General features: G+C 42.4%; 1 protein-coding gene across 1 annotated transcript, besides 8 other annotated features; it reads right to left on the reverse strand.

Moving 5' to 3' along the window:
- Positions 1,359-1,528: an enhancer, noted in NCBI's record as "experimental_74848 CRE fragment used in MPRA reporter constructs". NCBI's record gives its function as "activates a minimal promoter by MPRAs in K562 erythroleukemia cells, with activity observed for both the introgressed and non-introgressed 4:154692555 variant alleles {active_cell/tissue: K562}" and the evidence as "EXISTENCE:reporter gene assay evidence [ECO:0000049][PMID:34662402]".
- SFRP2 (secreted frizzled related protein 2) lies at positions 10,632-19,124 on the reverse strand. The gene is made up of 3 exons (NM_003013.3): positions 18,375-19,124; positions 15,905-15,985; positions 10,632-11,796 (listed from the first exon to the last, which is right to left on the reverse strand). The coding sequence occupies exons 1-3, from the start codon at positions 18,874-18,876 to the stop codon at positions 11,492-11,494; spliced, it is 888 nt and encodes a 295-aa protein (NP_003004.1). The 5' UTR covers positions 18,877-19,124; the 3' UTR covers positions 10,632-11,491.
- Positions 19,268-19,437: an enhancer, noted in NCBI's record as "experimental_74852 CRE fragment used in MPRA reporter constructs". NCBI's record gives its function as "activates a minimal promoter by MPRAs in K562 erythroleukemia cells, with activity observed for the introgressed 4:154710464 variant allele {active_cell/tissue: K562}" and the evidence as "EXISTENCE:reporter gene assay evidence [ECO:0000049][PMID:34662402]".
- Positions 19,268-20,053: a biological region, named in NCBI's record as "OCT4-NANOG-H3K27ac-H3K4me1 hESC enhancer GRCh37_chr4:154710463-154711164".
- Positions 19,352-20,053: an enhancer, noted in NCBI's record as "OCT4-NANOG-H3K27ac-H3K4me1 hESC enhancer chr4:154710463-154711164 (GRCh37/hg19 assembly coordinates)". NCBI's record gives its function as "activates a minimal SCP1, AML or CMV promoter by ChIP-STARR-seq in naive H9 embryonic stem cells {active_cell/tissue: H9 hESC(naive)}" and the evidence as "EXISTENCE:reporter gene assay evidence [ECO:0000049][PMID:30033119]".
- Positions 20,054-20,755: an enhancer, noted in NCBI's record as "OCT4-NANOG-H3K27ac-H3K4me1 hESC enhancer chr4:154711165-154711866 (GRCh37/hg19 assembly coordinates)". NCBI's record gives its function as "activates a minimal SCP1, AML or CMV promoter by ChIP-STARR-seq in naive and primed H9 embryonic stem cells {active_cell/tissue: H9 hESC(naive and primed)}" and the evidence as "EXISTENCE:reporter gene assay evidence [ECO:0000049][PMID:30033119]".
- Positions 21,017-21,186: an enhancer, noted in NCBI's record as "experimental_74856/74857 CRE fragment used in MPRA reporter constructs". NCBI's record gives its function as "activates a minimal promoter by MPRAs in K562 erythroleukemia cells, with activity observed for both the introgressed and non-introgressed 4:154712213 variant alleles {active_cell/tissue: K562}" and the evidence as "EXISTENCE:reporter gene assay evidence [ECO:0000049][PMID:34662402]".
- Positions 22,160-22,861: an enhancer, noted in NCBI's record as "H3K27ac-H3K4me1 hESC enhancer chr4:154713271-154713972 (GRCh37/hg19 assembly coordinates)". NCBI's record gives its function as "activates a minimal SCP1, AML or CMV promoter by ChIP-STARR-seq in naive and primed H9 embryonic stem cells {active_cell/tissue: H9 hESC(naive and primed)}" and the evidence as "EXISTENCE:reporter gene assay evidence [ECO:0000049][PMID:30033119]".
- Positions 22,438-22,732: an enhancer, noted in NCBI's record as "tiled region #5783; HepG2 Activating non-DNase unmatched - State 23:Low, and K562 Activating DNase matched - State 20:ReprD". NCBI's record gives its function as "activates a minimal TATA promoter and a strong SV40 promoter by Sharpr-MPRA in HepG2 and K562 cells {active_cell/tissue: HepG2 | K562}" and the evidence as "EXISTENCE:reporter gene assay evidence [ECO:0000049][PMID:27701403]".

Below are 22,869 nucleotides of genomic sequence, written 5' to 3' on the forward strand. Positions count from 1 at the left end.
ACTCTGGCCATTCTGGTGGGCATAAAGTCATATCTCATTGTGGCTTTGATTTGTATTAAATATTTTCCTAGAGACTAATAATACCAAGCATCTTTTTGTGTGATTATTGGCCATTTGAATATCTTTTTTTTTTGTTTTTGTTTTTTGAGACAAGGTCTCACTTTGTTGCCCGGGCTGGAGTGCAGGGTGTGACAGTGATTTCTCTTGCCTCAGCCTCCCCAGTAGCTAGGACTACAGGCATGTGCCACCATGCCTGGCTAATTCTTAGTTTTTTTATAGAGACGAGGTCTTGCTGTGTTGCCCAGGTTGACCGTTTGAATATCTCTGGAGAAGAGTCTATTCAGTTCCTTTGTCCATTTTTAAATTGAGTTATTAGTTATTTTATTGTTGAATTTTAAGTGTTCTTTATATATTCTATGTGACAGTCTTTTGTTAGATATATGCTTTGCAAATTTTTTTCTCATTCTTTGGGTTGTCTTTTCATTTTTTTGATAAAACTTTCAAAACATGAAAATTTGAAATTTACTCATGTGTTCTTTTGGTGTCATGTCTAAAAAACCATTGCCTAATCCGGGGTCATGAAGAATTATTCCTGTGTTTCTTCTAAGAGTTTATAATTTTAGTTCTTAGATTTAGGTCTTTGATTGAGTTTGAATCAATTTTTTTTGTTTTTGAGACAAAGTCTCACTCTGTCACGCAGGCTGGAGTGCAGTGGCGTGATCTCAGCTCACTGCAACCTCTGCCTCCTGGGTTCAAGGGATTCTTATGCCTCAGCCTCCCAAGTAGCTAGGATTACAGGCAGCTGCCGTGATGCCTGGCTCATTTTTGTATTTTTTTAGTAGAGATGGGGTTTCACCATCTTGGCCAGGATGGTCTCGATCTCCTGACCTCAGGTGATCCACCCACCTCAGCCTCCCAAAGTGCTGGGACTACAGGCATGAGTCACCGTGCCTGGCCGAGTTTGGATCAGTTTTTATATTTGGTGTGAGGTAGGGGTCCAAGTTCATTTTAGTTTCTTTCTTTCTTTTTTTTTTTTTTTTCCCTCATGTGGCTATCCAGTTGTCCTGGCACCATTTGTTATTTGTTGTAAAGACTATTCTTTCCCCATTGAATTCCTGTCTTGGCACCCTTGTGAAAAATCAATTGATCATAATATAATGGTTTATTTTGGAACTCTCAATTCAATTTTATCAGTTTATATGCCAATCCTTATGTCAGTACCACAGTGTGTTGATTATTGTGGCTTTGTATTAAATGTTAAAAAAGGAAAGTGTGAGTCATCCAACTTTGCTCTTTCTCCTCCCCTCCCACCAACTTTGTTCTTCTTTTGCAAGATTTTCTTAGCTATTCCTGGTGCCTTGAGTTATCATAAGAATTTTAGAATCAGTTTGTCAGTTTCTGCCAAAAAGGCAGCTAGAATATTGATAAGATTATTTTGAATCTATGGACCAATTTGGGAATATCACTGTATTAATACTAAGTCTTCCAATTCAGGAATGTGGGATGCTTTTCTATTTATTTAGTTTTAAAATTTATTTCAATTATGTTTTGTAGTTTTCAGTTTGCAAGTTTACACTTTTCATTTGTTAAACTTATTCCTAATTATTTTATTCTTTTTAATGCTAGAGTAGAGTTGTTTTCTTAATTTTATTTTTGTATTGTTGATTGCTATAGAAATACATTTGATTTTTGCATATTGATTATGTATCTTGTAAACTTGCTGAACTCCTATTAGTTGTAGTAGATTTTCAGTGGCTTCCTTAGAATTTTTTATATATAAATCATGTTTTCTGTGAATAGAAGTAGTTGTTTTACTTCTTCCTTTCCAATCTGGATTCTCATGCTCTCTCTCTTTCCTCTCTTCTGCCTCCTTCTTTCATTTTTTTCGTTTCTCTTTTTTCCATACTGTGTTGCCCAGAACTTCTAGTACTATATTGAATAAGAGTGGTGAGAGTGTACCTACTTGTATCTTCCTGATCGTAAAGGGAAAGTATTCAGCCATTCACCATTAAGTATGATGTTAACTATGAGATTTATGTAGATGGCTTTATCCGGTTGAGGAAGTTCCTTTTTATTGCTAGTTTACTGAGTGTTATTATCTGAAAAGATACTGGATTTTTTCAAGTGCTTTTCAGCATCCGTTGATATAGTCATGTGATTTTGCTCTCTTATTCCATGAATATAGTGTCTTACATTGATTGTTCTTTATATGATAAATCAACCTGGCATTCCTGGGATGAATGCCACTTGATCATGTTGTATAATTCTTTTAATATGCAGCTTCATTGTTAAGGATATTTGCATCTATGTTCATAAGGAATATTGGTCTACAGTTTTCCTTCCTTGTGATTTCTTTTTCTGGTTTTGGTATCAGGTTAATTTTGGCCTCATAGAATAACTTGGGAAGTGTTCCCTCCTCTTCTGTTTTTTTTTTTTTTTTTGCAAAATTTGTGAATGACTGATGTTAATTCTTCCTTAAATGTTTGGAATTCACCAGTGAAACCATCTGGGCCTGAACTTTTCTTTGTGGGAAGTTTTTTGATTACTGATTCAATCTCTTTCATTGTTGTAGGTCTATAAAGATTTTCTACTTGCTCTTGAGTCAGTTTTGAAATTTTGTGTCTTTCTAAGAATTTGTCAATTTTGTCTAGGTTATCCAATTTTTTGGCATATAATTGTTTATTGTATTGTCTTATAATCTCTTTTATTTCTGAAAGGTTGGTAGTAATAGTCCACTTTCATCCCTGATTTTAGTAATTTGGGTTTTCTCTCTTTTTATTTTGGTCAAACTAGCTAAAGTTTTGTCAATTTTATTGATCTTTTAAAAGAATAAACTTTTCATTGATTTTGTCTATTATTTTCCTATTCTCAATTTTATTTACATCTGTTATAATCTTTACAATTTCATTTCCTCTGCTTGCTTTGGGCTTAGTTTACTCTTATTTTTTAAGGTAGAAGGTGAGATTATTGCTTTAAGATCTTTTTTCTTTTTAAATATAGGCATTTGCAGCTATTTCCCTCTGAGCATTGCTTTAGCTGCATCCTATACATTTTGGCTTTGTTGGGTTTTTGTTTTCATTCACGTAAATGTCAAACACATTTAGGAATGTGTTGTTTAATTTCTGTATCTTTGTGAGTTCTTCAAATTTCCTTCTGTTATTTATTTCTAATTCCATTTCGTCGTGATTGGAGAGCATACTTTGTGTGGGTTTATAAAGTCCTTCTAAGTTTATTGAGGCTTGTTATACAGCCTAATGTGGTGTATCCTGGGGAATTCTCCAGTTGCACTTGTGTGGTAAGTTCAAGGATTTGGGGGCTAATCAAGGAAAGACAGGAGCACAAGATGGCAGTGTTGTACAGTAAGCTTTTTTGGTGGTATTTGAACAGGGTTGCAGGAGAGGGGAAGTCTCTCACAGCAGGAGACCTTCCAGAGACAGGGCCACCATCCAAAAGGGGAAAAGGGTAAGGGAACTCCTAGAGGAGAGGGGAATTGGAGGCGGGGCTCATGTGTCTAGGTGATGTCACTCAGCAGCAAGGTGGAGAGTTTCGGATCAGATGGCTTTGAAGGGCAGTATTGGGTGGGGTCTTTTCTAGCCACAGAGTTTGTCTTATCTATGACAAGCAGATGTGGGCCTACATTTAGAGCCTATCCTGTTTTGCAAAACTGCAGGGCATGCAAAACAGGATAGGCACTAAATGGTAAAAAGTATACTTATTTAGGATATATTTAAGGCAATTAGATGTAAGAATTTAGTGTGGTCCTGGTGGGCTTTCAACTACTGGTCCCAGCCTCTTGTGAAGAAGTAAACAACATGAGGGCCAATATACAGAGACCATCTTTGGCCCATTTATATAACAACTTGAGAAAAGTTGGCTGATAGTATCATTCGAGTCTTCTATTTCCTCATTGATCTTCTGCTCTCATTTGTTCTTTCCATTATTGAAAGTATGGTCTTGAAGTCTCCAACTATTATTGTTGAATTGTCTATTTTCTCTACTTTGTCCTTTATCAGCACATCCATCCTACCTTCTTCTTTGCCCACATAACTCCTTATATCATAAAGGATTCATATTGGTCATCTGTCTGGCTTTGATGGGCAGAGGGTAACTTTACTGGTTTGGGGATAGTTTTGTTTAATTTTTCTTTTCTAGCCTTGCATCTCTGTGAGCCAATGCACACATTCTAATCCTCTGTAGGACAAGTGTTTAATGGTGTTAGACCAGGAAATGTAATAGAGACCATGCTTTACTCGGAGCCCTGCCCTGCTTTTCACTTTCATCAATGAGTGTTAAAATTGTTAGAAGTTCAAAACACTCAAAAGATTATTATGACCTCCCCACACCATTCCCATATTTTTATTCCATAAACAAACAAAAACACCAAAACCCATTAACTTAGTTTTAAAAATATAAAGAAGTACACAATTATCTGGTTTTGTCTCATGATGACTATTTTGATGATTTTTTTGAGAAAACAAAAAATTAAGTGCTTTTTTCTTTTCCTGTTTTTGGAATTCCCACTTTAATGGCACCCTAAACACAAAGCTTTGTCCATTATGGAGGCACTATAAGAAAACCTCCTTTGTCCCATAGGACCTGGATGGCAAGTATCCAGGATATAGCTACCACTTCCTCCTCCCATGCCTATGGCAGACACCATCACAACCATACGTACATCCTCTTCCATGAAATGTCTGTACATGCTTTGCTCATTTTCTAAGTGCTTTGTTTGATTTTTTTACTGTTAAGTTTTGTGGGTTCTTTATATATTCTAGATACAAGTCTTTTATTCCTAATCTGTAACTTGTTTTTTTACCCTCTTAACAGGGCCTTTTACATAGCCAAAGTTTTACCTTTTTATGAGGTTCAATTTATTCATTTTTCCTTTTGTGGATTGTACTTTTGGTATCAAATCTAAGAACTCTTTGCCACGTTCTAGGTCTTGAAAAGATAAGTTTGTCTTATTTTTCAAAAACTTTTATAGTTTTCTATTTTACACTTAAGTTAATGGTTCATTTGAGTTAACTTTTGTGTGCAATGTTAGATTTAGATTTTTAATTTTTTTATTTGCCTGTGGGATAGCCAATTGCTCCAGCACCATTTGTTGAAAAGAGGATTTCTACTTCATTGAATTGCATTCACATCTTTGTCAAAAGTTATTCGAGTATATTTGTCTGGATTCATTTCTGGATTCTCTGTTCTATTCCACTGATCTGTGTCTGTCCTCCACACTGTCCTGATTACTGTAGCTATATAGTAAGCCTTAACATGGGAGGAATGATTTCTCCCACTATATTATTTTTCAAAATAATTTTGGCTAGTTTAGAGCATTTTTATTTTAATATATATTTTACAATAAGATTACCCATGTTTACAAAAAGCTTGCTGAGATTTTGATAGGAATTGCTTTAAATCTGTCAGTCAGTTTGGGGAGAATTGATATCTTTACTATATTAAGTCTTCAAATCTATGAAGATAGCATATCTCTCCAATTATTTAGGTCGTCCTTGATGTCTTTCATCAGCATTTTGGATTTATCAAAATATAGAACCTGTACATACACTGTTAGATTTATACCTAAGTATTTTATTTTCTTTGGAGCAATTCTAAATGGTTATAGTGTTTTATACTAACAACAAAACAACTTGTTGGTATGTGTAAATGCAGTCACTTTCGAGTGTCAATCTTGTATCCTGTGACCTTACCCAACTCACTTATTAGTTCTCAGTGTTTTGTAGATTCGTTGGGATTTTTAAAATGTAGATAATTGTATTTGTAAATAGACAATGTTTTATTTTTTTAACCCAGTTTGTATGTCAGTTGTTTCTTTTCCTTGCCTCATTTGACTGTCTAGAACTTCCAATATGATGTTGAATAAGAATGGAGAGAGTGGACACCCTTGCCTTGTTCTTGATCTTAGAATGAAAGCACTCAGTCATTTACCATTAAGTATGATATTAACTGTAGGATTGTTGGTAGATGCTCTTTGAGGTTAAGGAAGTTCCCCTATATTCTTAGTTTGCTGACAGATTTTATCATGAATGAATATTGAATTTTATATGCTTTTTTATCACATCAATTAATATGATCATGATTTTTTTCTTTAGCCTGTTGATATAGTAGATTACATGAATTAATTTTTGAATATTGTACCAGGCTTGCATACCTTAAATAAACCAGCATGGTTATAGTATATTATTCTTTTTATGTATTGCTGGATTTGGTTTGCTAACATTTTGTTGAAGATTTTCATGTCTAAGTTAACAGGAGATACTGATTTGTAGTTTTCTTTTTTGCGTGTGCTGTCTTTGTCTGGTTTAAGTGTTAGGGCTATACTAGTCTTATAAGACGAGTTGGGAGGCGTCCCTTCCTCTTCTATTTTCTGGAAGAGATTGTGTAAAATTGGCATTAGTTCTTTTTTAAATGTTTGGTAAAATTCTCCAGTGAAACTTTCTGGGCCTGGAGATTTTGATTTTTAGTGTTATTTTAAATGTGAACTTACTGGTACCCGTAAGAACAAATGGGGCCCAGGAAGACTGTGTTTAGGGGTGTCTGGGGAGGTTTGGGTCTCAGTTACTATTGTCCATCACATGTGTTTGTTACATTAGATCATGAGCTTCTTGAAGGCTAGCCGTGGTGTGTTGGTCATCATTGGAATCCCGGCACCTGGGACAGTGCCTTGCACATACTGAGTACTCAGTGTAAGGTTGCTGAGTAATGGAACTGACTCTCAGCACTTTGATTGTTGCAGACTGGAACCCTGATGCTTCTTAGGGAAGCCAAGGGAGAAGAGGGCAGCACAAAAATGCCTGAGTCTTCTTTTGGGGGTGGAAAAGTCTCTTTGGGAGAAGAGAGAAGTAGATAATATTTGTGATCTCATTCTTCCTCTTGCCTGCTTGAACTGCTACCATTCAGGCCTTGAAAAACCCAGTGTACCAAGAAGACGGTGTGTGGAGCACTGGTAGTGGGGAAGAACAGATGCAGACTAGCGCCCCTTCCTGCTGTGTGTGTCTTCAAACACAGAAACAAGCTCTGAGAATTATGCTTCAACATAGAAGATGGAAAGGAGATGAGAATGTATCAAGCTTAGGCATAACTTACTGAGTAATAGTTCTTAATTATTTATAGATGAGAAGACTGAGGCTTGAAGAAACTATTGACTTGCCTAGGTCTCTCTGAATTTCGAAAGCTACGCCAATGAACTTGACACTTTTACTGCAGCTTCTAGTCTGTTAAGTGGTTTATCTTGATATACTTTAGATGATACAGCTGTAGAAAATTTTGTACCAGTTACACCAAGCTCTAGTGCTTTTCTCATTTCATAACATAAAATGACAAATTAATGGTTATTACTACTCTGAATTGGAACATCTTGAGACAGATTCTTTGATTTGTCCTTCTAACACTATCTGCATTAACTGATACCTTTATTAATTGAACTTTTTTAGCACTTACCTCTCTGTATCACTCTCTGGACAGTAATGGAGTGCATTTTAAAGTATTTTGTTTTATTATGTTTAGTTACTATTTGTTTCTGAGCAATAATGTATTTAATCATTTTGCAAGTTGAGAATTTTTTAATGTTATTTACTCTAAAATCTGTGGGTCTTATGCTAGATTTATTTGTAGCATCTAGGGCAATAGCTTCAGCATAATATTGCACAATATCATTGTTGATTGGTCAATATGTAAAACTGATGATACTTAATTTCTAAGGCTCTGTCTTAATAGAAGATATTCTGGTTCAACTTATTAAAAATTCTCTTCTTATAAGTACCTTTACCCAGATCCTAATCTCAACTTAAACCCAACATTCTATTTTCAACTCAAGTGAACCACTCTCTCTTCTAAGTCATCCCTGGTGCATGTACACATCTCCCTCTTAACATAGAGCATTGGAGTTGTTTGCATGCCTCTCTTCCTTATTGGATTATGAGTTCCTTTTGGGAATGATTCATTGCTGTATTACCAGTGCCTAACACAATCCCTGTGGAATACAAGCTGAAGGATGGCAGAATCATTGTGTACCCACCATCTAGACCAGTGTCTGGCATGTGGTAAGCACTCAATGCATATTTATTGAATGAATAAGCCAATGTCAATAGTTTGTGCTCAATAAATAGTTGCTGAGTTAATAAATTAATTTGTATTTGTGCAATGTGTTTCATAGGCAAAAATCAAACTGTTCAATAATCCAGATTCAGTGACTACATGAGGGATACATATGCCAGGATTTGCTTTTCAAGGTAACCCCATCCATTAAGAGCATTGAAAACTTGATAGTAAATAAGAGTTGAAAGATAAAAAGGCTGGCCAAATTATCATCTAATTAGAGAATAGGGAATCAGGAATTGCTATAGTTTGAATGTATCCCCTAAAATTCATGTGTTGGGAAGTTAATCTCTGGTGCAACAGTGTTGAGAGGTGAGACCTTTAAGAGGTGATTAAGTCATGACGATTCTGCCCTGTGAATAAATGAATGCCATTATTGCAGGTGTGGGTTTATTGTGGGAGTGTGTTCCTGATAAAAATAATAAGTTTAGTCCCTTTCCATTCTGTGTCTTGCACACTCTCTTACTCTTTCTCCTTTCACTATGGGATGACACAGCATGAAGGCCTTTATCAGATGCCAGCACCATGCTCTTGAACTTCCCAACCTCCAGAACCATGAGGCACATAAATTTCTATTGTTTGTAAATTACCCAGTCTGTGATATTTTGCTACAGCAGCAGAAAACAAACTAAGACAGAAATAAAGGGTGTTTTTAGACAAAATTGATCTTTTTTAATCCTGTGAATTTCAATATACTGGTTTGTGCATGTAGACACTGCCTTCATCCTTTGTTCACTTAGAAAATGCTGCCCTAAAACCTTTTATAAATATCTCTTGTAGAACAACTCATTTCTCAAGCTATTTATTAAAGGGAAGAGGAATTAAATGCATAGCAGATATGTAGTTTTAAAAAACTTTTTTTGAGAGACAGGGTCTTGCTATGTTGCCCAGGCTGGTCTCAAACTCCTGGCCTCAAATGATCCTCTCACATCAGCCTCCCATGTAGTTGGGATTACAGATATGAGCCACTATACCTGGTTATTTAGGCTAATCCCCACTTTGGGCATTTTAAGTTTATTAATGGGTCATGAGTCATCTCAGGAAACTCAGAAATCCAATATCCTTGATTACTTGCTTTCTTCTTCCAATAGTGGATGGACATTCACGTTTTCATCTGCCTACAAAAGAAATCTGATAGTTGAAAAAGTAAGAATATAATCATGATTATTGATATAATATAATCATGATCAAACAAAAACCTACCTGCTCTGCCCCAATGAGCATGTCTCATTGGCTTGTGCCCTTGTCAAAGACAGGAACAAGAGGCATGAGGTAGAAGAGTTGGAAAGCGTATGGAGAGACATATAGTCATGCACCACTAAGAACATTTTGGTCAGTGATAGACTGTGTATACAGTAGTGGTCCCATAGAATTATAATGGAGCTGCCCTATACAGGTGTACCATATTTTATCTTTTATACCATATTTTTCCGTACCTTTTCTATATTTAGATATGTTTAGAAACACAAGTACTTACCATTGTGTTACAGTTGACTACAGTATTAAGTACAGTAACATGCTGTACAGGTCTGTAGCCTAGGAGCAATAGACTCTACTCTATAGCCTAGATGTGTAGTAGGCTATACCATCTAGGACTGTGTGTGTACACTCTACGATGTTCACTGAATGACAAAATGGTTTCACAATGTGTTTCTCAGAACACTCCCCTGTTTTTAAGTGAAACATGACTATATATGACAAGAGGCAGACATTTGGGTGATGCCAGAGCTGCTAACTCCTCAAAACATGACCAAAGGTTGAGCCCCATGAATAGGATTAGTGCCCTTTTAAAATAGGCTAGAGGGAGTTTGTTCACCCTTTCTGCCACGTGAGGACACAGCAAGAAGGCACCATCTGTGAAGCAGAAAGCCCTCATTAGACACCAAAATCTGCCGCCACCTTGATCTTGGACTTTGCAGCCTCTGGAACTGTCAGAAGTAAATTTCTGTTGTTTATAAACTACCCAGTATATGGTATTTTGTTATAGCAGTTGGAAAGGACTAAGAGACATTTAATGGACAGATGTCTGTCTCTCCTTTTTTACCCTAGTTCAAGTTTTCACCATCCCCTTCCTCCTCCTTGCATTCCAGTGGATACTCTCCAAATCATGGCTCTCTCTATCTGAGGGTTAGATTTGAGTCGGGGAAGGAATTAACATTTTTGCAGTGGTGATTCTTTTTCGGTATGAAAAATCTCAGGAAATGAAAAGCACAACTGTAAAGCTCATAAACCTTAAGTTTAGGGTAATGTTTCCACATAGCTGCAGCTGGACTGCTCAGAAGGGTCAAAAGAAGGCAACCCCTTTCTAGAGGCTGCAAGTCGCTGCTTCCACAGGGTGAAAGTGGTGAAATCTGTGAGATGTGGGGCATGGTGGTGGAGGGGGAGACACTTTCTGAGTCACTTGAGAAGTAGATCACTTTAAACTGCTGGAGGGCTGGGCTCATGGAAGGAAGTGACCACCCATACATAGCTCCATTCCCAGTTCCTTTTACTAAGAAGACAAGACAGAAGACAAAGAATAGGTAAAACAGGATGTAAAGTTTATATACAAGAATATAATGTTTATCTGAAATATTTACAGTGTTGGTTAAAGCAATATTTTTACAACTTTTAAAGGTAAACTACTATGTATATTACAGGTAAGCTACAATGGGTTTAATTTGCAAAAGTTAAGTAAGAAATGTTTTAAACAAGGCTTAAAGTACTCAAGTCAATTATAAAATTTATATCTTTTGCCTTTTACTTGAAGAAATCATGCTATAGAAATGGTTAATGTGCTTCTAATAAATGGAAGTATTGTAGCTGGAATGTGATACATGTAACAGTTTAAGTTCCCATTGAAGGTATAAAATGATGAATTGTTGTAAGACTTAGACACTGAGTCTCAGTCTGGAGCTGATGAAGATGTTGAGATAACAGCCAGCTTTATCTCAACAGGGTTTGTGACCCACAAGTTTGGGCCACAGAGAAAATTGAAGCAATTTGCATGTTATGACAACCTCAGTGGGAAGTGAAAATCAGCTGACTCAAAACAACAAACAACAACCAACCAGACCCAAGTCACAGTTGCACCTATTCAAAACTAGCTTTAAAGTGAGCTATTTTTAAACTTCATAAAAATATTCATGATTTTATTAGTTTGAATATTTCTACAAGATTCGGGTGGGCTTTTCCTTTAGGTGAAAACAGCTATCCACTCCTGTGGCCTTATAACTCAGGAAATGCTGGGGATGCAAACGTGCAAAAGGCAGGGGGAAGCTGCCCAGGCTGAGACTGGAGCAGCTAGGAGTGTGCTTGGGGAACGGGAGCTGAGATCCCGGAGCAGAAATGGTCAGCCGTGCTCTGGAGCAGGCCTGTCGGAGCCATCAGGATGCCGGGACTAGCACTGCAGCTTGCGGATGCTGCGGGAGATGCGCTTGAACTCTCTCTGCCCCTTCTGCCACCGCTTCACCGAGGTGATCACCAGCTCCCCACCCTGTTTCTGTCCCATGACCAGATAGGGCGCGTTGATGTCGTTCATCTCCTCACAGGTGCACTGCAAGCTGTCTTTGAGCCACAGCACCGATTTCTTCAGGTCCCTTTCGGACACACCGTTCAGCTTGTAAATGGTCTTGCTCTTGGTCTCCAGGATGATTTTGGTATCTCGGTTGATGTAGGTTATCTCCTTCACTTTTATTTTCAGTGCTATGAGGGAGGGCAGAAAGAGTCATGCCAGTTATAATGAGGGAATACAGTATACCTCCCCCCATTCTGCCAACTCGTGTGACTTGGCCTGGATGAGGAAAGAGAGGCTTCCTAGAGCTAATGGGACCCTCAGAGGCTGCAGATCGGGGGTTGGGAGCTAGGGGCAGCAGGTGGCTCCACTGCTAAAGCCTCAAAGCATTTGCCAGGCACTTGGTTTCCAATCAGCCATTTTTTCAAAACTCTCTCTTTGCGGGACTCAATTAACTTTTCTTCTCCTTTCCTCACTCACCCTTGTGTTTGTAAGAAAGTTGCATGTGGTGTGTGCTCTCTCCAACAAATGACTTCCTCTGTTGGAAACTTAAGCATGAAAAGAAATGCCTGACTTTTAGGTGAAATATGATCCCTCTGTGGCCGTAAAGTTTAAACTCAATTTATTATGCAAGAGGTTTTTGGACAAACCTGTAAGGAAACTGTGTCACGCAATCATTGTTTTCTAAAGATCAGATTACAGGGAAGGAGAATTGATCTTACAGCTGCATTTGATTTGGTAAAGCAGGAGAAACAATATGCAAGTCTCTTTTTAACAGCACAACGTGGTTAGTCATAAAAGTGTTTTTCTGAAGACCTCATCCTTATATGCTCTCATTTGCCAGTCCAAGGCCAAGGCGTTTACGGATCATATATGTACTGTTTCCAAAATGTATATGTAGACTCGTTAGAATGCGAAGACCAAAAGTAAGTGGTTTACTATAAAGGACACGTTTTATAGTCATGAACAGTATGCTCTGGGAAAGAAAGCCCTACAAACGTGTATGCTGGAATTAAATTTCAAGACTCCATGAAAGCAGGAAAAGAATAGAATTTTAAGGTTAGAAGGGATCATCCCATTAAAATTGCTTGTTAATACACAAAGAATCTTAAATCCAGAGAAGTTTAGTGACTTGCATGAGGTCACCCAGTTTAGGTTGTTTGCTAGAACTCCAGTTGCCAAACCTCCTCCTGTAATACCACTGTGGTGTCTTGAGGCAATGTCCATGTTTTTGTAGTGGTTGCAGCATAAACTTGCCCAGCTGCAATGTGTCCTAAGACCCTGTGTGCCCCTGACAGCTATTCTGTATAGATGATGTGTAAGTATGACTTCCTGACTTTGATGGAGTTTAATCTATGTTTAAATTAGTAATAGAGGAAGATTTTTCTGTGTTGCGTACAACTGTTTTTGAGATTTTCTTTTTTTTTTTTTTAAATATCAGAATGGGAATTTGACTGAGTATGGCTTTCTAGTCAACCAGGAAATTATAGAATCTCTAGCAGGTAAATCAAAAATGCTATGACTTGGCCAACCATGGTTTTGTCTGGTATGATATGCATCTGAACTGTGGTACTGAATTCTCAGTTTTTGAGACTCAAGTCGTGGAATAAGCCATACTTGTGGAAATGTTTCATGCTTTTGTGTCCTCTGCATTGGGAGTAGGGTGTTGGATAGACCTCACCATGGTGGGAGAAATGGACTGATTACACTTTACCTGGGAGCCTTGTCTGTAGTACAGGTAGGGCATATATAAGATTTCACCTGGCCAAATGAAACATTCTCAAGCTCCAAACATCAGAAAAAACCATCACTTTTAACCAGGAGGAAGATTTTTTAGTCATCTTTGTCTAGCTCTAAAATAACTAATTTTGCAAATGTTTATCATGAGAAAACATTAGGGATTTTCTCCCTGGATTTTCAGCTAGGCCCAAACAGAGAGAATTGAATCCCCCACATAACCTTTCCTGTCCTGGAGGATGTGACTGAGGATGCAGGATGTGATCGCAGGCAGAGGTGATGATACTTTCTGGTCCTACAATAGGTTGTATATATAGGAAGGTAGTTCTGAACCATTTTTTATTCACCAGTACTTGCACCACTGAATTTCCCTTGTACTTCAGGAGCACAGTAGGGAAGAGGTGATGCCTTCCCAGAGTAGTCAAGTCAAATAAATCAGATTTCTATGCTTGTTCCTCCTACTTTTCCATTATTCACAAAGAACAGAGGCAAGATGGAATAGTGCTTATAAACCAATAATCTTATGATGCAGTTCTTAAAATTCTGCTTCATTATCCCTCTATGGGTCAAAAAGAGTGAAGAAATAGAAAACAAAGCTTGTGAGGTATCTATGCATGTGATACCTTAAGTGTGATAACTTCTGTGTTGTTTTGAAAGGCTTTCTCTCTGTAAGGAGGGAGCACACTAAGGCACACAGGCATCCATGTTTTGGCTCATGTCTTGATAGGGCATCCTTAGAAAGGGGGTCTTCTGTAAGGTCAGCCACAAAGCAAGCAAGTAATAGGTGTGTGTGCATGTTTCCCAAAGCCAATTGTTATGGAGCTCCACAGTGTAACAATCAACTTTTCATGGAAGTCAGGAAGGATCTGTTTTATGTGCAGTGCAAAGGATATAAACTGCCAGAAGAACATGATATTTTATAGGCTTTTTAATAGAAATTTTATAAAATGATATTTTTCTATCTTGCCCTTAATGAAGTGATGTAGCATGGGGGCTGAGAACTGTGTTTTGGTAAGGCTCTGGTGATTTGGAATTATCTGCTGCTAACATGCCTGGCTCTTAGCCAGTTTGAGGGTTGTATACATTTGAAAACAGGCATATGAAACCCCGTCAGCCCCATTTGTGGCTCCTCCTGAGGGGAAAAGTTGCTAAGGACTTTGAGCTACCTCCCTTCTTTCTCTTTCCTCAGCAGTGTGAAGCCTTTCCCAACACCGGGACTATGGTAGTTCTGGGACCAGTCAGAGTTAAACCCAGGACACTTTCTGGAAGAGACCTGGAGTTGTCAAAGAGCAGGGATTGGATGGTTCCAGAGTTTTAGGGACCTGACCAGGCCTGAGATTTCTGGGATGGCAAGGTAAGGAGAGTGAGAGCTGGAGTGATTTCCCTCAGTCTCGAGGACTATGTTGAATATGTAGAAGTGTTAATATGGGTCTATTAGACTCCATTATTGATTGACAGAGCAGGGAACATATCTGCTTATGAGTAAGTTCAGCCTTGTGCCTGAATAAATACTTTTTTAAAAGGTACCAATAATTCCAACACACCAAAAGGTACCTGCCCTTGGAAAAGGATAAAAGCAAGAATGCCTCTGGGTGAAGTTCCTGGTCATTCCCAACTCTGAATTTAGCATTGATCCTGTGTCTAGCTGGGCTCCTCTTCTGACCTGAGAGCCCTGAAGTCAGCAGATGAGGTGCTGGTAGAGTTCCATGTAGACAAAGCCCCAGCTCTCTTTCCCCTTATAATCCTGTCTTCAGGGGAGTGACTTGCAACTTATGGAACATATCACATGTGTTTTTTATTGTCCCCAAACACCATGTGATCTATCATGTATCTTGCTAAAGTAAATTTCTAAGCTTTTTTTTTCCTTTTTAAAACTATTTTCGAAACTGTGGCAAATGTGTCTAGACTTAGTCATACAAAATTTACAAAAACCTTTTAAAAGGGATTTTAAGATGGTGTTTTAAGGTTGTTAGGTGTTCCATGTTAGGTGTCTTCTCAGTAAGCCACTCTTCTTTTTCAACTTAAGGAACCCCTCCTTGACAAATTATTAATCAGTGCCTTGGATATATTCACTAATGGTAGAACACAGAGGTTTAAAATCATTATGGGTTATAAAGAAAGTAAAAATATTTTTATTTGTGGCCAATTTAAAGCCTTGAATCTGTTTGGCTGGGGCTAATATTTACACTTCCATCCCTGGTGCACATGTTAAGTAATCAAAAGAAAATAGAACTCGGGATTATGCCTGTCGGCAAAAAAAAAAAAAAAAAAAAAGGGATTTAAAATGTGCCACTGGAAATTGATAATCTGAATAATTTTCATTATTTGATTATTGGCTTAACAGAACAATGAGTCTCACCTAACAAGATACAACTCAATGCTAGACAGTTACATAAGGAGGAAACTAGGATAGATCAAGTTAGATGATTTTGGGATACATGAGCTATAATGGTGTTTTACCCAACCTTTATCTAGCAACATCATAATGATTTGCACCTTGAAGTTTTACTGGTAAATAAAACTTCTGAATGTGAAATCTGTTGTTGTTGTTGTATTACTTACCAAAATCATTTTTACAAAGCGTTTCCATTATGTCGTTGTCATCATCATTTTTATTTTTGCAGGCTTCACATACCTTTGGAGCTAGAAATGTGAAAAACAGTCTTTAGTAAGTTTGCTTAAAAGAGAACAGTAGGTGGCGTTTGTAAACAACTCAAAGGGACTTATCCAGACAAAAGTAGCAATTGTCCTATTTAACCTCAGCTTCTGCCTCCTCTATAAAAGCAGGAACACTCAATCCTAAGAAAGTTTTCCCATGCTTCCCAATTTTTTTGGGGGGGAGGGGTGGTGGGAGCAAAATGAGAATGCCTATATGTTGTTGTGTTTAATAAATTATGACTCTCAAAAGGGAGTTGTGGGCAGAGTATACAAGTGTATGTAGTTATAGTTAACTGAGACAGGGTGCAGCTTTTCAGCTCATCCTCCCAACCTCTGGGAAATTCAGTCTGAAAAAGTTATTCCCAAGGCCTTTTGAAGGAGAAAGCACCCAAAGAACCAAAGATACTTGAGGAATTTGGGAAAACTGGTAACTAGAAAATATAGACAAAAGATTGTCTTTCTCAGCCACAGGACACCAGTGTAGTTGGCTCTACTCGGCAGAGCTCTGTATCTCAGGGGGGCCAAGTCTGGACTGGGAGGGGTGACTGGCTAGCGTTCCACATGTGGGCTGTTTCCACCTTGAAAACACATCTCACTAATTACAACAGCCTGCTCTAAGTGGTTCTGTGTCACCTTGTGCCTCTGCCAAGATTGTGCTTGAGTTAGGCAGCATTCATTTCATTGTTATCTGCAAGCTCCCTGGTACAGGTTCTTCTTGCCCTTCTGTGCCTGTTTCAAACTCTCAAAACAAACAAATAAATAAACCTGTTTCTGAAGCTAATCAAAGACGAAGCAAAAATGGTTTAGTGGTCTGATCAAACTTAGGGATTGTATACTAGCACAATTATCAGAAGACCTGCTAAAAGCTCTTCTAAGAGTTTGATTTCTTGGGAGAAGTAAAAAAAAAAAAAAAAGAACAATTATATTGCCCTTCTCTCATTTATAAATGTGTTAATTATGTCTTTAAAATTTAGGTGAAATGAGATTTTCACTAATGTGAAATTTAATGTTCATAGAAAACTATGTGACTTAATAGAAGCGTTATTTATCAAATTAGAAAAATCACAAAGCTGGAATTTTGAAGAACATAAACTTTTATTTTGAAGGAGAAAAGTGGCTTTTTGGAGAAATGTAAGATGCGTAATGTTGCTGCTGATAGTGGGAAGAAATAAAAGCAACATACATAAAACTGCCCTTAAGTCCCCTCACCCAAACAAAATCAAACATTTCCAATTAGGAGCTCTCAGGATGTATATAAAATATTACTAACCTGTATTGGTTGGTCTATGGTACATGTTGGACAAATGTTTGAAAAATGCCAAACATTTGCAATAAATTAGAAATCTAACCAATAAGATGATTGCAAACTCATGGTCCCTGCCAGGAAAGATTGCTAAAGAACTTTGCATTTGCTTTAACTAATGATGTCTGTAGGAAAACTACTAGAGATTGAAAGGGAGAGGCTGCTGAAGCCCTGAAAGGGATTAGGAAGCTCCCTTTTCCAACCCAGGGGACCCAAATCAGCTCAGAGGCATTGTATATGTTTTCCTTTCAGAAAAAATATTGAGAGCCCATGAGGTTTTCATTGCTTTGATGGTTTTTGCACAGGAACTCTCCCTCCGTTTTCTAAAAACTTGGGAATCTCTTTTGCATGATTTTCTCCAGCTAATCAAAACCACTCCTAAGTTAAAAACTGATAGCAATAGAAAAGTGATTTCCAGAGATTCCCTTTATGCCCTCTTCCTCAAGTATCTGAGCAGTTACAACCAATGTTCAATTTTCCACACACTCCGTGCCAGTCCCGGTTTTATTTCCAAAATCTAAATTGACAAAGGACAAAAAGACCCTTAAAAGGTTATCTACTTGTGCATCCTGGTTTTCCTTTCTGTACAGGAAATGTTCCTGTGACTAGAATCCTGCCCAGTGGTAGGAAGGTGCAGAATGAGGCTGAGCGAGGGGCCTCTGGCCAGAATGCTCACCACAAACTCCTCCACCAAACACCACTTCCAACGCTCTGCGCAGCTCCAGTGCTAGCATCTTTAACAATAATCGTGTATCTATTTTTTTTTAAACCGCCGTTCAGTTCTTCGTTTTTTTAGTTTTGTTGTTTTTGTTTGTTTGTTTTATTTTTAAACTGCCCTTAAGTATAGCTGGTACAACTCGGGAGGAGAATGCGCGAGACTTGGGCGGCGTGGGAGGGGTGCCTCAAATTTGATACAGGCTTGTTGTGATGACAGACCAGGTCAGGCAGAACTTCTGCCCTTCCCGCTACTGGCACCCCAAGCAGGGATGCACTGGGATGCGTGGCAGGGGCGGGATCTCCTGGGAGCGTCTCAGCCCAGCAGGGAGTGGGGAAGCAAGAGGGAAGGCTTACCTTCCTCGGTGGCTGGCAGGAGGTGGTCGCTGCTAGCGAGGGGGATGCAAAGGTCGTTGTCCTGGGGGAAACGGTCGCACTCAAGCATGTCGGGCCAGGGGAAGCCGAAGGCGGACATGACCGGGGCGCAGCGGTCCTTCACCTGCACGCAGAGCGAGTGGCATGGCTGGATGGTCTCGTCTAGGTCATCGAGGCAGACGGGGGCGAAGAGCGAGCACAGGAACTTCTTGGTGTCCGGGTGGCACTGCTTCATGACCAGCGGGATCCAAGCGCCGGCCTGCTCCAGCACCTCCTTCATGGTCTCGTGGCCCAGCAGGTTGGGCAGCCGCATGTTCTGGTATTCGATGCCGTGGCACAGCTGCAGGTTGGCAGGGATGGGCTTGCAATTGCTGCGCTTGTAGGAGAAGTCGGGCTGGCCAAAGAGGAAGAGCCCGCGCGCCGAGCCCAGGCAGCAGTGCGAGGCGAGGAAGAGCAGCAGCAGCGAGCCAGGGCCCTGCAGCATCGTGGGCGCGCGACCCCGAGGGGGCAGAGGGAGCGGAGCCGGGGAAGGGCGAGGCGGCCGGAGTTCGAGCTTGTCCCGGGCCCGCTCTCTTCGCTGGGTGCGACTCGGGGCCCCGAAAAGCTGGCAGCCGGCGGCTGGGGCGCGGAGAAGCGGGACACCGGGAGGACAGCGCGGGCGAGGCGCTGCAAGCCCGCGCGCAGCTCCGGGGGGCTCCGACCCGGGGGAGCAGAATGAGCCGTTGCTGGGGCACAGCCAGAGTTTTCTTGGCCTTTTTTATGCAAATCTGGAGGGTGGGGGGAGCAAGGGAGGAGCCAATGAAGGGTAATCCGAGGAGGGCTGGTCACTACTTTCTGGGTCTGGTTTTGCGTTGAGAATGCCCCTCACGCGCTTGCTGGAAGGGAATTCTGGCTGCGCCCCCTCCCCTAGATGCCGCCGCTCGCCCGCCCTAGGATTTCTTTAAACAACAAACAGAGAAGCCTGGCCGCTGCGCCCCCACAGTGAGCGAGCAGGGCGCGGGCTGCGGGAGTGGGGGGCACGCAGGGCACCCCGCGAGCGGCCTCGCGACCAGGTACTGGCGGGAACGCGCCTAGCCCCGCGTGCCGCCGGGGCCCGGGCTTGTTTTGCCCCAGTCCGAAGTTTCTGCTGGGTTGCCAGGCATGAGTGGGAGAGGGTGTGTGTGTGTGTGTGTGTGTGTGTGTGTGTGTGTGTGTGTGTGTTGGGGGGCTGCGTCCCTGGTAGCCGCGTGTGCCCTGTGATGGAGCCCGGGACCTGCCCGCCCGAGGCCGCCTCGGCGAACTTCGTTTTCCCTCGAATCTCCAGCCACCGTTCAGCAGCCTGTCGGTGTGCTCCCCAATGCCGTAAAAAAATCAGAATTATAAATATATTCGTATGAGCAGAACTTTACATGGAAAACGAAATACTAATAAAATGGGCTTGTTATTCTGTTGGAGTGAGTGCCTAGGAAGGGTTTCGTCGTTGTAGAAACGCCCCTACAAGAGTCTCACCAGTCACACAGGACTGCCCACCATTTCCCCGTTTTGGAGAGATTTTTCCTTCTTAAATGAATGGCATGACTCAATACTCGAAGGCATCACGGGCTCTAACACACAGCCGCCCTTGCAGCTGTGCGCTCTGGAAAGCTGGAGTATGGGCCCCCAGGGCACTGTTTGTAAAGACTGGTGGCCGGCACAAAAGACGGGCACAAAAGATGGGCAGGCTGGGAGGGAGCGAGGTAGAGGAAGGAGTCCTGCCTAGAGATCCACGAGGGCTAGAATTAGCTCATTCATCCCCTACGTACCAGGGGGCACCATGCTGGGCGCTGGATGTGCAGAAATGAACAAACAGGCCGGCCTCTGCTCTCGTGGAGCCTGGGATCTAGTGTCTCTGACTGCAAACAGTAAGTTCTGGGTTGGGGGGTGGGCTCCTTTTGCCTAATTGTCCCTAGTCTCCCTATGGGGACAGGAGGCCTTCGCTCTCCTCAGCCGCTGTCTCCGGGTGGCTGTGAAGATCCAAAGAGATAATCCCCGGAGGGCGAAGTTCTTTCATATGTAAGGTGGGCGCATTGTTATTACTTCCCGACCACTTAAGAGTCATTCACAGGCTCAGACCCCGGCTTCCTAATTTCCCTCCTTCCGGAAGATGCGTTGGCCTTGGCGGCTCCCAGGCCCAAGTTATCAGGCACACTTTGCGGTCCAGCTGCTTAGAGGAGCCGGGTAATGAATGAATGGGTGGCAAAAGCCCACTCAGTGTTATCTGCTGACCGTAAACACGCCAGGAAAATCGTCATCTGGAGAGAATGCACATTCTGAACTCCAAGAATCTGCGTCCCTAAGAGCCCAGCTTCCGGGTGCTCTGCTGGGGAAGGGCCCGGGGTAGCTGCAAAAGGCCTCTCTTTCCCCAAATTGGTTCAGGGCCTTTTCGTCTCTAACGAAAGCACCAAGAGGCCTAAAAGCCCCCTTCCCAACATAAACTACTTTGCAATGAAACCACAAAGGAAACAGAAGCACACCAAAAGAAAGAGCTAATAAAGAGCGTGAGCTCTGAGAGATGCTACGACTTGGGCCTGGGAGTGGGATAAGGGCCCTCTCGCTTTCACGCCCCCCCAACCCCCCGCCGGCCCCGGCCAACCCCTAAATCCCCAACGCCCTCCGCTGGGGTCGCCTCCTCCCCGCAGAGCCCCTTGTTGGGAGTTCAAGGAGCCCGAAGCTGGTCTGGCTGGTTTGAGCCCCGCGCTGCCGCACGCCCGGAAGTGGCTGGCGGCCCCCGCGCTCCGCGCGCCGGCTGCATTGTTTTGGGAGCCCTCGCTGCCCGGCTTGCCGCCAGGAGGTGCTGGGAGTCGCGCCTGAGTCTCCATCCCTGCCGTGCGCAGTGTCCACCTCTGGCCAGCTTGTTTGCCCGGCCCGCGGCGTCCCCTGCGGCCCATCGCTGCTCCTCCCGGAACCCACGCCACTTAGTCTGGTCCCGACCCTGCACTCGCTGCTGCTGCCTTTCCCACCTCAAGTCGCTCTCCCCACTCCCTTCTGCTTTTGGGCTAAGACCGGTCCAATTGATCACTGGGGAACAGGGCAATAACCTCCCGCGGAGGCTGGGACGCGGGCACGGAGCTCTGCCCATATGAGCAGCGCAGGGATGGGACACTGGGTGCCCATCCCAGCGCGCCTCCCCAGACTGGTCCCTGGGATGCTCACACGTGGCGCGGCACCGCGGCGGCGCCTTCACGAACCCAGACTCTTCTCTGCTGCCAGTTGACCTCAGGTCCACAGGTCTCCTTCGATCCTTGCAATTGATCAAAACCCACCAAAGGCTTTTATTTGTACCAATGGACCGTCCATGTTTACCCCCTCCCTGCCCATTTAAGGCACGGAAAATCTATTCACCCAAGCCCAGGGTAAGTGATGGTGGATGCCCACTCCACCGGGCATCTTGCTTAAAGGGGGCTGCCCATAGGTCCCTGGAGAGGGGCTTGGTCCAGAACACACACAGAATGAACATCATCCCACCCCAATGCTGCAGGTCTACGGAAGAGCCTCGACCTCCCGTATCCTGGGTTTGGCTCTGCTTCTCTGCTTGAGTGTTTCCTGTGCTCAGGGCACTGAAGAAGCTTGAGGCACAAAGAAAGCCCCCAGCAATCTCTCCAGAACAATTTGGCTTCTTGTTTAAACCTGTGCTGGCTACAAGAGTTTCTGGACAGGCAAGACCTTCACTCTCACGTTCAGATTCTGTCCTGTCAGGGAGTCCGCTTGGCCTCCGCGAAGAGCTGGGAAAAGCGAGCCTCCCACCCCCACTCTCAAGTAGTAAAATCAAAGCGGATGGACCCTTATTTCTGAGGAGTGAAAGCGAGAAGAACGATGCGTGTAAAATGCTAGTTCCTTAATTCACACAATCCAGCACCGGCTCCCGGATGATCATTTTGCACACAAGCAGTCACTGGGAAACTGAGGCATGGAGAGGTTAAGTAACGAACCGGGCCACACCGTAAGTGGTACAGCTGCTGACGTTACATGTGCCTCGGTGAGGTGAAGTGACTACCGGGCTAGCCTTGGGGACCTGTCGCGACTTGTCGGGTGTCTCCAACCGCGTTGCCGCCTGGCTTTCAGCCGTGCGCTGGCCAGCCGGGCGGGTGACGTCACCTCTCCCCGGGTCCGTGCACCCAGGCCTTCCCTGCTCCGGGTGAGTATTTTTTCATGGGATTCAGCCATCTGGGGGCGCCATTTCCCAAAACAGAGATTGTCCCTTTGAGGTTGCAAGTCAGGTTCCTTTACGCTGAGATCCCTTACATTTTTACTTTTAGGAAGGTTTTTTCGAGGGGTGGGGGGATGACCTCATTCCTTCGCCTTTGGCCCTCCCTCTACCCGGCCCCACAACGAGGACGCCCCTGCAGCTGGCTGGGCCGCTTCCTCTTGCCACGCGGGGGGACCTGTGCCCGCGGCCGTGCACCTCCGTGTACGCTTCTGCTCCTCGGACCCCATCGGTTCAGACGCGGATTTCCGAGAA

The sequence above is a fragment of the Homo sapiens genome, chromosome 4, assembly GCF_000001405.40.
Source record: "Homo sapiens chromosome 4, GRCh38.p14 Primary Assembly".
In the NCBI taxonomy this organism is placed as follows: domain Eukaryota; kingdom Metazoa; phylum Chordata; class Mammalia; order Primates; family Hominidae; genus Homo; species Homo sapiens.

Excerpts from the sequence above, each read along its gene's own strand:
- SFRP2 (NM_003013.3), bottom strand. The coding sequence starts at position 18,876 with ATGCTGCAGGGCCCTGGCTCGCTGCTGCTGCTCTTCCTCGCCTCGCAC. Across the intron at positions 15,986-18,374 it reads CCTGCCAGCCACCGAGGAAG|CTCCAAAGGTATGTGAAGCC; the intron begins GTAAGCCTTCCC and ends TCACATTTCTAG. Across the intron at positions 11,797-15,904 it reads GCTTTGTAAAAATGATTTTG|CACTGAAAATAAAAGTGAAG; the intron begins GTAAGTAATACA and ends CCTCCCTCATAG.